At 54.2% G+C, this 17,952-nt stretch overlaps 1 protein-coding gene across 8 annotated transcripts, besides 2 other annotated features; it reads right to left on the bottom strand.

Moving 5' to 3' along the window:
* Positions 1-7,280: 7,280 nt before the first annotated feature.
* Positions 7,281-17,547, bottom strand: PLPPR2 (phospholipid phosphatase related 2). 8 transcript variants are annotated; one of them, NM_001393893.1, is made up of 10 exons: positions 17,407-17,547; positions 16,003-16,177; positions 15,240-15,360; positions 13,259-13,447; positions 13,023-13,158; positions 11,491-11,762; positions 10,290-10,466; positions 9,144-9,266; positions 8,767-8,818; positions 7,281-8,632 (listed from the first exon to the last, which is right to left on the bottom strand). In NM_001393893.1, exons 3-10 carry the CDS (start codon positions 15,303-15,305, stop codon positions 8,289-8,291), a joined length of 1,359 nt encoding a protein of 452 aa, NP_001380822.1. In that variant the 5' UTR covers positions 15,306-15,360; positions 16,003-16,177; positions 17,407-17,547; the 3' UTR covers positions 7,281-8,288. The 8 variants fall into 8 exon arrangements, with proteins under 8 accessions (NP_001380822.1, NP_001380823.1, XP_016882637.1 ...); NM_001393894.1 differs by having other exon boundaries at positions 9,160-9,266; XM_017027148.2 differs by having other exon boundaries at positions 13,259-13,372.
* Positions 15,694-16,635: an enhancer, noted in NCBI's record as "H3K4me1 hESC enhancer chr19:11467020-11467961 (GRCh37/hg19 assembly coordinates)". NCBI's record gives its function as "activates a minimal SCP1, AML or CMV promoter by ChIP-STARR-seq in naive H9 embryonic stem cells {active_cell/tissue: H9 hESC(naive)}" and the evidence as "EXISTENCE:reporter gene assay evidence [ECO:0000049][PMID:30033119]".
* Positions 17,278-17,727: a silencer, noted in NCBI's record as "silent region_10108". NCBI's record gives its function as "represses an Ori minimal core promoter by ATAC-STARR-seq in GM12878 lymphoblastoid cells {active_cell/tissue: GM12878}" and the evidence as "EXISTENCE:reporter gene assay evidence [ECO:0000049][PMID:35858748]".

Raw genomic sequence — 17,952 nt, 5'->3', positions numbered from 1 at the left:
GTGGCAGGCGCCTGTAGTCTCAGCTGCTTGGGAGGCTGAGGCAGAAGAATGGCGTGAACCCGGGAGATGGAGCTTGCAGTGAGCCGAGATCGCGCCACTGCACTCCAGCCTGGGCGACAGAGCGAGACTCTGTCTCAAAAAAAAAAAAAAAAATTTAGCCAGGTGTGGTGGCGTGCACCTGTAGTCCCAGCTCCTTGGGAGTCTGAGGCAGGAGGATTGCTTGAGCCCAAGGAAGTCAAAGCTGCAGTGAGCAGTGATTGTGCCACTGCACTCCAGCCTGGGCAACATAGCGAGACCCTATCTCAACAAAAACAAACAAAAATGCACAAATACTCAGTAGTGACACCCACATCACAGAGTCCAGCACAGTTACATACATGGGAGCATGCTGAATACAGCCTCACCACAAGTCCTTTGCACTTGATGTTCTTGTGTGTGCAGCAGTCAGCTTCCAGATATCCTTCTGGCTTTTTTTTTTTTTTTTTTTTTTGAGATGGAGTTTTGCTCTTGTTGCCCAGGCTGGAGTGCAATGGTGCAATCTTGGCTCATCACAACCTCCGTCTCCCAGGTTCAAGTGATTTTCCTGCCTCAGCCTCCCAAGTAGCTGGGATTACAGGCATGTACCACCACGCCCGGCTGATTTTGTATTTTTGGTACAGACGGGGTTTCTCCGTGTTGGTCAGACTGGTCTCAAACTTCTGACCTCAGGTGATCTGCCCGCCTTGGCCTCCCAAAGTGCTGGGATTACAGGTGTGAGCCACCGAGTCCAGCCGACTTTTTTTTCCCTCCACTCTTTTTAGGTCTTTGGTCAAAATATCATCTACTCAGAGAGGCTTCCCCTGACTGCCTGCCCAAAATTGCACACATTTCACTCTTTAACTGATTATCTGTTTTTGTTGTTATTGTTGTTGTGTTGTTTTGTTTTTTCGAGACGGAGTCTCGCTCTGTCACCCAGGTTGGAGTGCAGTGGCGCGATCTCGGCTCACTGCAGCCTCTACCTCCCGGGTTCCGGCAATTCTCCTGCCTCAGCCTTCCGGGTAGCTTGGATTACAGGTACACACCACTATGCCCAGCTTATTTTTTTTTCTTTTGTATTTCTTTCAGTAGAGATGGGGTTTCACCATGTTGGCGAGGCTGGTCTCAAACTCCTGACCTCAGATGATCCGCCTGTCTTGGCCTCCCAGAGTGCCAGGATTATAGGCATGAGCCACTGTGTCTGGCCTGTCTTCACATCTTGACAGAAGAAGATTTACCATAGAGGAGAATCATGGAGGAATGTACCTGCCTGCAGGTAGGGTTGGACCTGGGGCTACAGGGTAGGAACTAGGTGGCTTGGGGTCACTCTGTGCCTATCCTTAGTTTACTGGCATCCTCAAGCAATAGTATCTACTATGTATCAGGGCCCATTCTAGTAACTGTAGACCCCACAGTGAACAGACAACAGATCAAATCTCTGTCCTGGTGGAGCGACATCCGAGTGAGGGAGACCTATAAAGACCCACTGAGCATCACGAGGAATTGAAACACTGTGAGCACATGACAAGCATAGGCAAAAAGACATTTGCACAAGGGACCGGGCACGGCGACTCACCCCTGTAATCCAAGCACTTTGGGAGGCTGAGGCGGGCGGATCACCTGATGTCGGGAGTTTGAGGCCAGCCTGACCAACATGGTGAAACCCCATCTCTACTAAAAATACACAAATTAGCTGGGCGGGGTGGGGCGCCTGTAATCACAGCTACTCAGGAGGCTGAGGCAGGAGAATCACTTGAACCCAGGAGGTGGAGGTTGCAGTGAGCTGAGATCGCACCATTGCATTCCAGCCTGGGTGACAGAGCAAGACTCCATCTCAAAAGAAAAAAAAAGAAAAGAAATTTGCACAAGGAAGGGAAGTTAGAAGGAAGGGCCAGTTGTTTTTTCAATTTTGAATAGGGTGGTTGGGTCAGGCTGGGAAGGCGACATTTGAGAAAAGGCCTGAGAGAGGTCAGGGTGTGAACTGTGCAAATATGCAGGGGAAGAACATTCTAGGTGGAGAATTCATTCAGTGCAAGGGCCCTGAGGCATTGGGAGAAAGTTGGCTTTTACTCGAGTCATGAGGAGACAGGAGAGAGCTCTGTGCCTGGGATAGTTGTGTTGTGACATTCTAAATCAGAGAGCTCTGTTTTAGTCAACTTGAGATTGAGATGCTGTGAGACCCACAGGGGCATGTTGAGAAGGCTTTTGATTTTTGTTGTCGTTGTTGTCGTTTTTTTATTTTTTGAGACCGAGTCTCGCACTGTCACCCAGGCTGGAGTGCAATGGTGCGATCTGGACTCACTGCAACCTCCGCCTCCCGGGTTCAAGTGATTTTCCTGCCTCAGCCTCCTGAGTAGCTGGGATTACAGGCGCATGCTGCCACTCCTGGCTAATTTTTGTAATTGTAGTAGAGATGGGGTTTCACTATGTTGGCCAATCTGGTCTTGAACTCCTGACCTCAGGTGATCTGCCACCTCAGCCTCTCTGAGTGCTGGGATTACAGGCGTGAGCCACTGCTCCAGGCCTAAACGCTTTACTTTTTAGAGAGCAGGGTCTTGCTACATTGCCTAGGCTGATCTCAAACTCCTGGGTTCAAGCAATCCTCCTACCTAGACCTCCCATAGTGTTGGGATTACAGGAATGAGCCACTTGTGCCCAGCTGAGAAGGCTTTCATTTTTTTTTTTTTTTTTGAGCTGGAGTTTCGCTTTTGTTGCCCAAGCTGGAGCGCAATGGCATGATCTCTGCTCACTGCAACCTCTGCCTCCTGGGTTCAAGCGATTCTCCTGCCTCAGCCTCCTGAGTAGCTGGGATTACAGGCGCATACCACCACGCTCAGCTAATTTTTTGTATTTTTAGTAGTAATGGTGTTTCACTATGTTAGCCAGGCTGGTCTCAAACCCCTGACCTCAAGTGATCCGCCTGGCTCGGCCTCCCAAAGTGCTGGGATTACAGGCGTGAGCCACCACGCCCAGCCAATCCCAAACAGGTACAAGCCAGCCTGTGTTCTCTAAGATCATCTATCCCAGTATGGGGGTTGGTGCAAGGCCAGGGCTGCTGTCACCACCCTCCTGAATGGGACCTGATTCTTCCCCCACTATTCCCATTGTTGGCCAGCGCTCTGCGTCAGCATCACAGACAGGGCCTGCTGGTTTGGGTGGTGGCGCTGTCCGTTGTGCTGAAGCTTTGCTTTCTTCCTGGCCCCAGTGGAGACAGCTGTGTGTCAGGAGAGACCACGGGTCTCAGGTGTATAAGCTCTGGAAACAGGAGCCTTGGTCAGTCAATCAGGGGGCCTCATGATGCTGTCTTTCCTCTGCCATCAGCTATCTGATGCTCTCATCTCATCCCCCCAGTGGCCCATGATCAGCTCCACCATCTCCTCAACTTCCCCACCGTCTCCCCAGCCTCCTTTTCTTCTGTCTCCTCCTTGCTCACCCTGTGCCAACTACTACACAGGCCACTTTGCTGTTCCCTGAACACAGAAGGCATGTTCCCACCTCAAGGCTTTCGCACTTGCTCTTCCCTTTGCCTAGAGGTCTCCCCACCACATATTTGCATGGCTCCCTCCCTCCCAGTGTCATCTCAGAGAAAACTTCCTTGATCACTTTTTTAAAAATTGCAAACCATAGCCCAGGCATGGCAGCTCACCCCTTTAATCCCAGCATTTTGGGAGGCCGAAGTGGGAAGATCGCTTGAGCCCTGAAGTTGAAGACCAGCCTGGGGAATATAGTAAGACATTGTCTTTACTAAAAATTTAAAAAATTAGCAGGCATGGTGGTGTGTGCCTGTAGTCCCAGCTACTTGGGAGGATCACTGGATCGCTGGATCCCAGAAGTTTAAGGCTGTAGTGAGCTATGATCATGCCACTGCATTCCACTCGTCGCTCAGCCTAAGCAACAAACAGAGCGAGACCCTCCCTCTCTCTTAAAAAAATTGCAAACCATGTCCCTATCCCACACTTGTCACATCGGCTTCCTTAGCTTGAGTGTTCTCCTTATCACATATCGATATCTAACATATCAGAGATCCCTTAGCTAAATCCATGATCCTGGAGTTGGAAATTCAGGATTTTTCAGATTTTAAAAAAGTAATAGGGTATAAATACTATGTATTTCATACCCCTGGTGGGACCAGGAGTAAAATCCTCAAGTCACTTTATCTTCAGCAAAACACAAGAATATTCACATCAAGTGAAATAAATAAAAGCTATATATAATCTCAGGTCAGTTCAGGTTAGGTTTTGCCATAAATGAGTTATGAAAGGATTTTGGTTTTCAGACTTCTTTTTCTTTTTTGAGACAGAGTCTCACTCTGTCACCCAGGCTGGAGTGCGGTGGTGTGATCTCAGCTCACTGCAACCTCTAACTCCCGGGTTCAAGCGATTCTCCTGCTTCAGCCTCCCTAGTAGCTGGGATTACAGACGTGTGTCACCACACCTAGCTAATTTTTGTATTTTTAGTAGAGACAGGGTTTCACCATGTTGGCCAGGCTGGTCTTGAATTCCCGACCTCAGGTGATCCGCCCACTTCAGCATCCCAAAATGCTGGGATTACAGGTGTGAGCAACTGCGCCTGGCCTGGTTTTCAGACTTCTATAAAAATTTGGAATTGTGAATCTGTATATAGCTCGTTTATTTTTATATTTATTAATTTGTGTATTTATTTATCCAGAGACATGGTCTTGCTCTGTCACCCAGGCTACAGTGCAGTGGCATCATCACAGCTCACGACAGTCTCGACTTCCTGGGCTCAAGGGACTCCCATCTCAGCCTCCTGCATAGCCGGGACTACAGGTACGCACCAACATGCCCAGCTAATTTTAAAATATATATATATATATATATTTGAACAGACGGGGGTCTCACTATGTTGCCCAGGTCATTCTCCAACTCCTAAGCTCAAGCAATCCTCTGGCCTTGGCCTCCCAAAGTATTGGGATTACAGGTGTGGAGACCAGGCCCCATTTACCTTGTTTGTTGTCTTACATATTAGAACGCTCACATCCGTGACAGCAGAGGTTTGTGTCTGTTGTTTACTGCTGTAACCTCCCCCTGCCACAACCCCCACCCTGTGCCTAACTAAACAGCACCTGTGCTTTGGTCTGAATGTTTGTGCCCCTTCCCCCGGTTCATATGTTGAAATCCTAACCCACAGTGATAGGAGGTGGGGGCCTTTTAAAGGTGATTAGGTCATAAGGGTGGAGTCCTCATGAATGGGATTAGTGCTCTTATAAAAGAGGCCCCAGAGAGCTTCTCCACCTTCTGCCATGTGAGACTAGAGTGAGTCTATGAGGAAGCAGGCCCTCACTGGCCACCGAATCTGCTGGGGCCTTGATCTTGGACTTCCCAGCCTTCAAAACTGTGAGCAATAAACTTCTGTTAGGCCAGGGGTGGTAGCTCATGTCTGTAATCCCAGCACTTTGGGAGGCTGGGGTGGGTGAACCACTTGAGCCCAGGAGTTCAAGACCAGCCCGAGGAACATGGCACAACCCTGTCTCTATTAAAAAAATAGGCCAGGTATAGCGGCTCATGCCTATAATCCCAGCACTTTGGGAGGCTGAGGCAGGCAGATCACAAGGTCAGGAGTTCGAGACCACCCTGGCCAATACGGTGAAACCCCATCTCTACTGAAAATACAAAAATTTGCCGGGCGTGGTGGTGGGTGCCTGTAATCCCAGCTACTTGGGAGGCTGAGGCAGGAGAATCGCTTGAACCCAGGAGGCAGAGGTTGCAGTGAGCCGAGATCGTGCCATTGCACTCCAGCCTGGCGACAGAGCAAAACTCCATCTTAACAAAAAAAGACACACACACACAATAAAAATAAGGCAGGCGCAGTGGCTCATGCCTGTAATCCCAGCACTTTGGGAGGCTGAGGCAGGCAGATCACAAGGTCAGGAGATCGAGACCATCCTGGCTAACACGGTGAAACCCCGTCTCTACTAAAAATACAAAAAATTAGCTGGGCGTGGTGGTGCGCACCTGTAGTCCCAGCTACTCAGGAGGCTGAGTGAGGCAGGAGAATCGCTTGAACCTGGAAGGTGGAGGTTGCGGTGAGCCGAGGTCGCACCACTGCACTCCAGCCCAGGTAACAGAGCGAGACTCCGTCTCAAAATAAATAAATAAATAAATCAGAAATTTATTGTTATTATTATTATTATTTTTTTTTTGAGACAGAGTCTTGCTATGTCCCCCAGGCTGGAGTGCAGTGGCACGATCTCGGCTCACTGCAAGCTCCACCTCCCGGGTTCATACCATTCCCCTGCCTCAGTCTCCTGAGTAGCTGGGACTACAGGCGCCCGCCACCACACCCAGCTAATTTTTTGTATTTTTAGTAGAGACGAGGTTTCACCCTGTGAGCCAGGATGGTCTCAATCTCCTGACCTCGTGATCCACCCTTGTCGGCCTCCCAAAGTGCTGGGATTACAGGCGTGAGCCACGATGCCCAGCCAAGAAATTTATTTTTTAATAATTAGTAGAGGAATTTAATAGTAGTAGAGAAATTTATTTTTTAATAATTTAATAAATAAGCCATCCTGTCCATGGTATTTTGTCACGGCAGCTGGAACAGACTAAGACCATCTAGCACACAGTAGGGGTTCTACAGTGTTTGCTTAATGAATGAGTGAATTAATTAAGGAGAGAAGGGAAACAGACTCCCTTTTCCTGGTTCCTGAGTGACTCTGGGTCCCAAATGCCCTGTCTGAAAGCCCTCAGAGCCACAATTGAGGGAGGGGTCCTGTGGCTCCCTCTCCCTGACCCTTTGAACATCCCCAGTATCTGCTGAGTTCTCAGGGGGGTTGGGTCTTGGTGTAATCTCATACTCAGCACCCCTGTTCTCATCCACACAGCCAGGTGTTCCACTTGGAGGTTCTTAGTGCCCCTCAGCATCCCCCATCCCTCTCAGGACCCCCAAGTATCCTCACCCCATTCCTTGTGCCCTCTGTGCCCTGGCCTGAGACACACAGGGCATGTACGGCTCCTGATGTGGGTTTGTGTGCCTTGGTAGCTTGAGTGACTGTTTGCCTTTGATAGATGAAGAAACAAGGGCACAGAGAGGTGAATGAACTTTTCTGAGGCCACAGAGCCCAGAATGCTGAGCCAGGATTTCAGCCCAAGTCTGAAGCTCCATGAAACCGGGCTGCCTTTCCACAATTGTCCTTAGATACACTGCGGCAACACACCCACACCCAGCTCCACAGACATCTAGACCCACGATGAATGTCCTCCGCACCCCCCCACCACCCGGGGGAGGAAGGCAGATGGCCAAACTTCTGTTACAAACAGGTCTTTATTAAAGATGAGAAGCCAGGTCTTTATTAAAGATGAGGAGGGGGCAGGAAAGGGGGGCAGTGCCTCCTCTACCCACTGCCTTTGCCTGCCCGGGGTGAGGGAGCCCCTCTGCTCCACCCATGCCCCCCATGATGGCACATCTGTATGAGGCTGAGGCATGGGGGGCAGTGTGAAGAACAGGGGCAGGTTCCAAGAAAAAGAAGAAAAACCCTTCCCACAGCCCTAATAAATAACAGAAGGGTTTGGGATGACCTGGGCACAGGCAAGGGGAGACACAGCACCCTGAACCCCAAAACCTCTGAAGTGGGGCAAGCCCTACTTAAGTAGGGGATTAGGAGAGAGTGGGTGAGAGGTGGAGAGGCCGCACACAGGGAGGGGCTGAGAGGAAAAGGGGTACCCCAAGGACCCTGCCATGGGGGAGCCTGCCCCCCACCCTACAGCTGGGCTCGCTGATTCTGAGAGAAGACTCAATGACAAACAATGACCTCATCTCCCTCCTCTCCTTTGCACATGCTTAGACACGGGCGGTCCCCCATTGACTGGAATCATGCCCACCCACTCTAGAAATTCTGGAAACCAAGGGCTCCTATTGGCTGTTCAGTCGCTGAACACTGGCTGGAGTTGCCCTCTTGCAGGAGGATTCTAAGAAGTGAGGGGAAGGCTCCCATTGGTTGGAGCCAACTCCTTTTGGTTAAAATTCTGAGAACCAGGGGTTCTCATTAGCCAGGCAATGGCCAATGGGGTCAAGCTTTGGCCCTTAAAAGGGCAATAGTAGGGGCAAGTGCGCACCTTCCATTTGTGCCCATCGGGATATCTCAGAGGGCCAGAGAGGCAGATGTCTCCTAAATGTCCTTCTAGCCATCTTCTAATGTCTGGGTCTGGCTGGCTTGGGGGGCAGGGGACTTTGGCACTCACGTGGCACACGCACACACACGCGTGGCAGGGAAGAAGTGGGGACTGGGCAGATTCTGGGTGGGTGGTCGGGCCTCACAGCAGGTGGTCACGGCTGGCAAACAGGTAAGGGCTGAAGTTGTCCCGGTGGAAGGGGGAGGGATAGAGTCCACTCAGGGTGTACAGGTCCCGCAGCAGGGGCGTGGGCAGCAGCAGCTTCCGGCCACGTCCACCACCCCCGCCTGGCCCCCCAGGTCCAGGGGAGGAAGGCGAGGGGCCCTGGCTGGGGGTGGGCGCTGGCAGGGGTAGGGGCAGGGGCAAGGGCGTCGGCTCAGACCTCAATCGAGGACGGGGCACACGGGGCGACGAACACATGGCTGGGGCCCTGGAGGAGACACAGCTGGGGATCAGGTGGCCACGGCGGGCGCAGTTCTGCGACTCTGGTGGTCAGAAGCCAGATATCAGGGGATCAGAAAACTCGGGAGGCAGCATAAAGGCCTAGGTGAGACCTCTGGGGCAGTGGCTGCCCACCTGGAAGTCCCCCTGTTTAGCCCCCCACTCCCCCAACACTCACTGGATGGGGTGAGCCGTGCCGGTGTCGAATGCGGCCTGCAGACCTCGGGTTCCTGAGACAAAGAGACAGACGGAAGGGGCTAGTGGCCCCCTGGGCCCTACCGGCCACAGCCACAAGGAGCTCATCAGGTGAAGAGCCCCATGGAAAAGACAACCACAGTTCTCATGATTAACCGTGTCCCCCTGGGAAGAAGACGGGGGTGCTCCCTTTCATTCTTTGGGGCTGTCCGCCCAGGACCTATGTCCACAGAGATGGGTGATCCCTCCACTTCCCCATGGTTCTGAGACCCCCACCTCTTGCCTGACTTCCTTCCTGTCTCCTTGGCCCCCTCCACCCACCACCCTCTCCAGCCGGGAGCAGCCCCCGGCCCCCCTTACCTGCGCCACACTTAACTTTTCGAGGGGGCTATCCATGGTGGGGGCTTGGCCCAGGTCCTCCCAGGGAGAGAGCCTTCGGCCAGAGGGTGGCCGGCTCTGAAAGTTATGCACAACGCAGGTGACCTGGAATAGAGGGAGAGGAGAGTGTTGAGGCCTGGGGCAAGTCACATAGGAGCCATGTAAATACCATCCCCATTTTTCAGATAAGGAAAGTGAGGCTCCGGTTTTCAAAAACAGCTAATGCATAGTATGTGCCAGGCACTGTTGGTTCCATTTTACTGAGGTAGGTGCAATTATTATTTATCCCACAGACCCCACACTAGGCTAAAGTAAGTAAGACCAAGTTGTACAGTGGCAGGATTTAATTTTTTTAATTTTTTATTTTTTTGAGACAGTCTCACTCTGTCACCCAGGCTGGAGTGCAGTGGTGCAATCTCAGCTCACTGCAAACTCCACCTCCTGGATTCAAGCAACTCTCTTGCCTCAGCCTCCTGAGTAGCTGGGACCACAGGTGTGCACCACCATTCCCAGCTAATTTTTTTTTTTTTTTTTTTTGAGACAGACTTTCGCTCTTTCACCCAGGCTGGAGTGAGGTGGCACGATCTCAGTTCACTGCAACCTCCGTCCCCCGGGTTCAAGCGATTCTTCTGCCTCAGCCTCCCAAGTAGCTGGGACTACTATGCCTGGCTAATTTTTGTATTTTTAGCAGGGACAGGGTTTGGCCATGTTGACCAGGCTGGTCTCGAACTCTTGGCCTCAAGTGATCCGCCTGCCTCAGCTTCCCAAAGTGCTGGGATTACAGGCGTGAGCCACCGCACCCAGCCTTGATTCATCTTTATTTAGAATTTTTATATTCTGTACATTATGATAGTTTTGTATTAACTTTGATTTTTAAAAATGTTTTGTTAAAATATTAATCTTGATTACTGAGTGTTGGGCACCCTCTTAAAATTTGCATTCAAGGCCTTGCCTCACCCTGATCCTGGTATCTCATTTCACAGATGAGAATATCCAGGAAGGGTAATGTTAAGGGATTGGCCCAAGGTCACACAGAGTCCACACCCTTCTCCATCATGTGGTCCTGCCTCTTGGGTCAGAGAGCTGGTGAGGGTCTTCCATGCTGGGAAGGTTGAGGAGGCAACTCACCAAAAAGGTGGCGATGGCCGCCCCTGTCAGGAAGCCAGCCAGCACGTCCGACCAGTGGTTTCGGTACTCGGCCACGCGGACCACGCCCACCAGGAAGGCCGGGCACAGCAAGGCCAGGCAGAGCGAGGGTTTGACCAGGCGGGAGCCCTTCACGCGGAACACGAGAGTCACGTACATCTGCGGGGAGCCGGACTGGTCAGGGGGATAGCGGAGGCAAGTCGCCGAACCCAAGTGGACGCTCCTTTCTGGGCTAGAGCGCATGGCCAGAGCGTTGGGGCTGGAGGGAGTGGCCAGGGGCTCCAGGGTTGGAGTCATGGGCTCCCAGTGGGCTTTTCCAGGGAGCGTGACCAAAAAGGCAAAGGGGGGGGGGTCAGGGATTGAGGTCTTGGAGTCTCGTGGGCACCACCTGCAGGGCTAGGTGTGGCCAGAGCTCCCAAGAGCAGAGGACAAGGTCTGGGGCCCAGGTGTCCCTGGTCCGGAGTCGCAGATGGGGACAGACACTTACTGGATTAGGGCGTGGCCACAGAACCAGAGGGTGGAGTCAGGGCGAAGGGAGCTGTAGGAGCTGTAGGAGCTGTAGGAGGTGGAGCCCCTGACCCCTAGGGGACCACTGACAGGGTGGGAGCATAAACCCGGATGCCAGAAAAAAGAGTTGAAGCAACAGGGGATGTGACCAGGAAAAAGCAGGGGACAGAGTTAGAAATCCCAGAGCAGTTAAGAGCAAGGGGCGTGGCCAGGGCTACAACAGGAGGGAACAAGGCCCCCAGGAGAGGGGCAAGGGCTCCAGAAGAGGGGCAAGGACTCCAGGGGGCCGTCCCATCTGCCCAGTCTGCCAGCTAATATCTAGCGCCTGTAGCATCCTGGGGGCCTGGCTAGGCTATAGGGGTTCCGAGTCTTGCACATCAGGGACTGTCCTGATGCCATAGGGTAGAGCCAACAGTTTCCCTCGCATTACTGGCTCAGGAGGCGTGGCCAGAGGGCAAGGGGCGGAGTCAATGGACAGCGATAGCCTCTGACTGGGGGCGTGGCTAGGATCTGGGAGGAGGAGGGAGAGCTTCCAACAGGTCGGGGCGTGGAGCGAGAGCTTCCAACAGCACCCGGGGCGTGGAAGAGCAGAGGCTCCAACCCTGGCGGCTTCCTAGCTGCTGGTCGCTGTCCAGCCTGCACACCCATTTCCGACCCCGAAGCTCCCGAAGCTCACCGCTGTGTAGGTGACCGCGTAGGCGCAGAGGGCCGCATCCTTGCAGGGGAAGGCGCGGCGCGCGGCGGCCACGAGGCTGGGACTGCCAGCGCAGGCACCCTGGTCAGTGACAAAGCGGTCGGGACCTGGCCGATCCGGAGAAGGTGGCAGGCAGCCCAGGGCCGTGTAGTTGGGGCGGCACACGGACAGGAAGTGTGGCGTGGGATTGCCGGTCACCACCTGCCCCGCGTTGGCGAAGATGGTCGTGGTGAAGAGGCCGAAGGAGTAGACCCCTAGGGGTGGGATAGTGGAAGGGGTTCATGCGCCAGGCCCTGATGCTCCCACTGATTCCATTGGGCCTCTTAGCTCCCTTTTCCTGTGACTGTCATTAAAGCACACTTGGGACCCTGTAGTTGTGCCAACATCCCCCTTCCTTTAAGACCACCATGAAGGTACTCTGAGGCCTCCTGCCCCCAGGGACCCTCATTATCTGGCCCCTGTCTTTCTAGGATTACCACTATGTCAGGGGCGGATCCTCCCTTGGAGCCCCATTATAGCTGGGCTTGGACCCCCGCCCCAACACCATTACATCAGGATCCACCCCATGCCTAGGACGGCTAGGGAAAACCCTAATGGCATACCTGGGGCTCTTCCTGCCTGCCCCTAAACTGGCTACTACTGAGTTCAACACTCTCCTCCTGGGGCCACTAATAAGTTAGAGCTGGGTCTCCCGCCCTCTGCCCTGGGACCATCATTATAGGTAAGGTCTGCCCCTCCCCCTTTCCCACAGCCACTACTTGAGGCTGGGACCCCATTTAAAGCACAGCCAGAGTCTCACCCAGGGGCCCCAGGGTGTTTGTCCTGTGCCTGTGTCTCTCTTTTGTGCCTGAGACTCTCCTTATGGCATTCTGGGACCCTCTTCCGACAGTTGCCATCATGGTTGGGTTAGGCCCCACCCATGTCCCTAGAACCTCCATTACATCTGGTCTGAGCCTAAGTCCCTTGTTGCTTCCTAACATCCCCATCATGGCAATTCCAGGTCCTCTTCCTTCCCCCCTGGAATTCCCTTTTTTTTAAAGAGGTGGGATCTTGTTCAGTCTCCCAAGTAGCTAGTAATCCCAAGTAGCTGAGTCTCTGCCTCAGCCTCCCAAGTAGCTGGGGCTACAGGCATGTACCACCATGCCCAGCTTTTCCCTGGAATTCTTCTTTTTTTTTTTTTTTTTGAGACGGAGTTTTGCTCTTGTTGCCCAGGCTGGCACAATCTTGGCTCACTGCAACCTCTGCCTCCCGGGTTCAAGGATTACAGGCACCTGCCACACGCCCAGCTAATTTTTTGTTTTTAGTACAGACAGGGTTTCGCCATGTTGGCCAGGCTGGTCCTGAACTCCTGACCTCAGGTGATCGCCCACTTGGCCTCCCACAGTGCTGAGATTACAGGCGTGAGCCACCACACCCAGCCTGGAATTATTATGACTGTCAGGCCCATGACTCTTTTCTTCTATACCCACCTCCCCACCATTACCATGGGGCTGACCCCAGGCCATGTCTCTCACCCAGGAAGCGGACCAGCCTCCGCACTGGGGGGCTGAAGCGGCAGCAGGCCCCAGACACGATGGTGCTCTCCCCGATGACTGGGACGGCTGAAGGTGGTGCAGGGAAAAAGGCACGCGCCAGCTCTCCCAGCAGGATCTGTGGGCAAGACCAAGATGGAGTCTTCTGGCCTTCCAGCCCATCCCCTCACCCACCCTTACCGGCCCACCTGCCTCCTAGGAGGTCTTCATTGTCTCACCGTGAGGGTGGGCCCGGCAGTGACCAGTGCGTAGACAAGAGCAGGAGGCACTCGGCTGGCAGCCTCAGGCCCTGGGTAGGGCTTGGCGTAGGTACTGTCATAGCAGAAGAATCCCTGGGTGTGCACAGGGAAGGTGTCCGTGAACTCCAGGCGGTAAGCAAGCAGGATCACAATGCCCAGCAGCACCGACTGCCACCAAGCCAGGGCGGGGAGAGGTGGCGGAGAGAGAAGAGAGAGGTCAGGACTCCAGCTGAGGCCACAGAGGCAGAGATACAGAGATGGAGAAACATGGGTTAGAGACAGAAACTAGAAGATGGAGAGAGACAGAGACAAGGGGGAGAGAGACTGAGAGAAATGGGGAAAGGAGGTGAGAGAAGGGTCAGGGCTTAGGAGAAACAGAAGGAGAAGGAGACAGAAACAGAGGGGCCGTGTGCAGCGGCTCGTGCCTGTAATTCCAGCACTTTGGGAGGCATAGGCAAGAGGATCCCTTGAGCTCAGGAGTTTGAGATCGCATGACCTTATCTCTGTACAACTATAGTCCCAGCTACTTGGGAGGCTGAGGAAGGAAGATTGCTTCACCCAGAGGATTAAGGCTGCAGTGAGCCATGATGGCACCACTGCACTCCAGCCTGGGTGACAGAGGGAGACCCTGTCTCAGAAAAAAAAGAAAGGAAAAGGAATGGCTGAAAGACAAAAAGAAAGAAAAAAAATTAAAACGTGGCTCATGCTTGTAATCCCAGCACTTTGGGAGGCTGAGGCAGGTGGATTACCTGAGATCAGGAGTTTGAGACCAGCCTGGACAACATGACAAAACCCTGTCTCTACTAAAAATACAAAAATTAGCTGGGTATGGTGGCAGACGCCTGTACTCCCAACTACTCGGGAGGCTGAGGCAGGAGAATCACTTGAACCCGGGAGGCGGAGTTTGCAGTGAGCCAAGATCGTGCCACTGCACTCCAGCCTGGGCAGCGGAGCAAGACTCCATCACAAAAGAAAGAAAGAGAGAGAGGGAGGGAGGGAAAGAAAGAAAAGGAAGAAGTGAAAAAAAAAAAACAGAGAGAGAGGAAAGCCAGGAAAGGAGGGGAGAAGAGGAGAAAGCAAGAGGAAAGAGAAGGGAAAGGAAAAGGGAAGGGAGTTGTAGAGAGAGGGAGAGAAGAGATGGGCATGGGGAGAGTGAGATTAGGGCCAAGGCTCAAATGAGAGACAGACAGACAGGGGGAGGTGGAGAGACTCTCCCACATGGAAAGAAATCAGAGAAGTAGGGGTGCTAGCAGCTACCACAGGTGTAACCCTCACTGTGGGCAGGGGGTCGTACCAAGCTTTGTCCATGAATTAATATATTTTACCTTTAGAACAGCCCTAGGAGGCCGGGCGTGGTGGCTCACGCCTGTAATCCCAGCACTTTGGGAGGCTGAGGCAGGAGGATTGCTTGAGGTCAGGAGTTCCAGACCATCCTGGCCAACATGTTGAAATCCCACCTCTACCAAAAAGTACAAAAATTAGCTGGGCATGATGGCACACACCTGTAGTCTCAGCTACTCGGGACGCTGAGGTAGGAGAATTGCTTGAGCCCAGGAGGTGGAGGTGGCAGTAAACCGAGATTATGCCACTGCACTCCAGCCTGGGTGACAGAGTGAGACCCTATCTCAAACACACGTACACACACACACACACACACACACACACACACAGAGAACAGCCCTATGAGTTGGGACTCTGGTGATGTCCATTTTATGAATGAGGAAACTGTGGCTCAGGAGGGTACCTGTGGTGTCCAGCACCCTGCAGTGTGGATGGGGCAGAGAGGGATTGGACCCCGGGGAGTGGCACTTCTGAATCTAAGCTCATAACCATTTCTCAAGAGAAAGGGGACAGCAAGGGAGATCCCAGAGATGGAAAAGTGGGTACAGATAAGGAGACTGAGGTTGGACAGAGACAGAGATAGGCACGCCGTCTCTGGGAGAGGTACGGGGGTCCTCACCTCCACGAAGACAAAGCAGGGGATGATGGAGAAACTCCTCTTCAGATGCGGTCTCCCTCCCGCCATGGTGAAGGCCAGGCCTGCAGAGGTGGGGAGGGAGTGGGAGTCCCAGGGGGTGTGCCTAGGGGAAGGCTCAGGTCACCGGGACCCTGGCTTCATCCCCTGAGTCCTTTGGCCACACCCCTGGCCCTGAAGACCCGGGGAGGCCCTGACTCTGTCCCTTGAACCTTCTGGCCATGCCTCTGCAATCCAGGTCCTGCCCTGTTGGTCCTGACCCTACTGGGGACACCTGCCTCCTCTGACACCACTCCCCAAGAGTCTACGGGGGTCCCTTCCTTTACAGCCTACATGGGAGGCTCTGACCCAATGCCCTTTAGGAGGTGGGCCTTTAGAAGAGACTCCCCAGCCTCATGGGAACCCCTCCCCCATGGCACTTAGAAGGGTCCCCACTAGTTTTTAGGGGACACCATCCTCTTTCCCAAGGGGCCCCCATCCCTACCAGACCCTTCCCCTGAGTCGCTTCCTCCATGGCCTCTGCAGGGGCCCCTCTCTCTGTCCCCATGGGCTGTGGTGTTGGTGTCTGGTTGGGCTGATAGCCAAGCCCTCCTTCTCTGCCAACTGCCTCTCCCTCCTTCCCCCTCTTCCCAGCCGGTCTGCCTCCCAGTTCTCCTCTTCCCTCCCCCAAGGCTACCCCCAGTCCCCAGCGCTTTAGGGCTCAACACAGTCACACCTGCTTGCATCCATTCTCCCAGCCCCATCTCACCTGTGAAAGCGCCCTATGGCTTCCCCCAGGCTGCATCCACGCCTGAAGACTCACAGCCGCTCCTGGCAGCCAGCAGGGCAGGGATGGTCACCCCCATTGTGCAGATGTGGAAACTGAGGCCCAGGCAGGCGAGGGTAGGCACTCTGGGTCCAGCACCCCAACCACGACACTCACTCTGCAGTGTGATATGGGGTGATGGTTGCCAGAGGTCCTAGATACCCAGAGTCACCCATGCTGTCACCCTTAGGAAGCACAACCCAGCCGCAGCCTCCATCCTGGCACCACACACACACACACACACACACACACACAACCATGGCATAGCGTTCACCCATCCCACAGTGAAGACCGAGCACCTGCCGACTTCCAGGCGCTGTGCTGGGCGCCACTTTGCAGTAAACAAGAGGGGCCCCCTTGTTCAGACAGGTGTCCAACACACACAACACATGTCACTGCATACTCACACACAGTGGGCTCATAGCCTGTCAGAGACACCAAACAGATCAAACAAGTCCCCACCCCCACCCCAGGCCAAACAGAGAGAGACATGTCAGGAGACCCTACACACATCACAGTCCCACACAAGCCCCCACACCGCTACAGTCAGGGACACACAGTCAGGCCTGCAACACACTTAAGAGTCACAGAAAAGAGTCACCGCACACAATGGGGGTCACAGAACTCATCACAGCGTCACACCCCCAATTACAAGGCACTCAGCGACAGCCACACACACACTAACAGTCTCTTATTCACACCAACAGTCACAGGGGAGAGACAAGGTGCCATCTACAACCACATGGCCACATCCATGGACCATGACACAGACTCACAATGCCACACAAGAAAGGTGCACAGCGCACGACCACAGCCACACACACATACACACCATCAGAATGAACACACAACAGGAGCCACACAATGACAGTCCTATGCACACAACCACACGAACACCAAGACAGTCACACACAGAGACAGCAGCCACACGGGGGGCCAATGGCAGTCACAGCATAGCCAGACACACACACACAAACCATCAGAGTGACACCCACAACGACAGCCGCACAATGACAGTGACACACACACACACACACCCGCGGACCTCCCGAAACCACACAATCCCAGTCATGCAGCCACACGATGACAGTTACACAACCACACACAGACACACAATGACAACCACACAATCACAGTTACCCACAGCCGCCCTCACCACCGGTGCTGGCTCCTCGGCCCGGGGTCCCCTCCCCCAGCCCGGTCCCCTCCCCCAGCTCGCCGCCTCCCCTCCCCCGCCCCTCCCCGCGCTGGACCCAGAGGGACCCAACCCTCAGGAACCGGAGACCGACACCGGGGGTGGGAAGCCCACGGGAGGGGATGAGGGGCGCCCCCACCCCCTCCTCTCACCGCGTCGAGGCCGCCGCCGCCTGAGCCCCCGCTCCGCCTAGACTGCCCCGGCGCGGCGGGATGGACAGACGGACTGCCAGCCAGGCTGGCAGACGCGAAGACCGAGACGCGGTCGGCCGGGCCTGGCCGCGCCGCGCAGACTCCGAGGTGGAGGGAGGGGCGGGGCCTCCGGGCGTCTCATTTGCATAGCCCCGTGGGGCGGGGCCTCCGTGATCTTGGAGGCGGGGCGTGTTAGCATCGATTGTAGGAAGGAACCAAGAATGGAAGTAGAGAGGGAGGACCCTGGGGTGGGCGGGGCTCCGAGGGTAATAGGAGGGAGGGGCTTCAGAGTATGTCCCTGGGCCGCGCCTCTCCCTCTCTGGGCCTCAGTTTCCCCATTCGCCAGGGCCCCCCAGAAAGGAAGGCTCTGTGGCCAGTGTGGAAGTCTGTCTGGCTGCTCGTGTCTGGACAGAATGACTCCTTGCCTTGTCATATATTAAATCTGGCTTCAGATGTCCCCTGATTCCAAGCCCACACATCCCGAATGACCCCTGGGGTCTCTACACC

Source organism: Homo sapiens, chromosome 19, assembly GCF_000001405.40.
Source record: "Homo sapiens chromosome 19, GRCh38.p14 Primary Assembly".
Classification (NCBI taxonomy): domain Eukaryota; kingdom Metazoa; phylum Chordata; class Mammalia; order Primates; family Hominidae; genus Homo; species Homo sapiens.
Note: the sequence above shows the minus strand (reverse complement) of the source record. Positions and strands in the feature narration are given on the sequence as shown.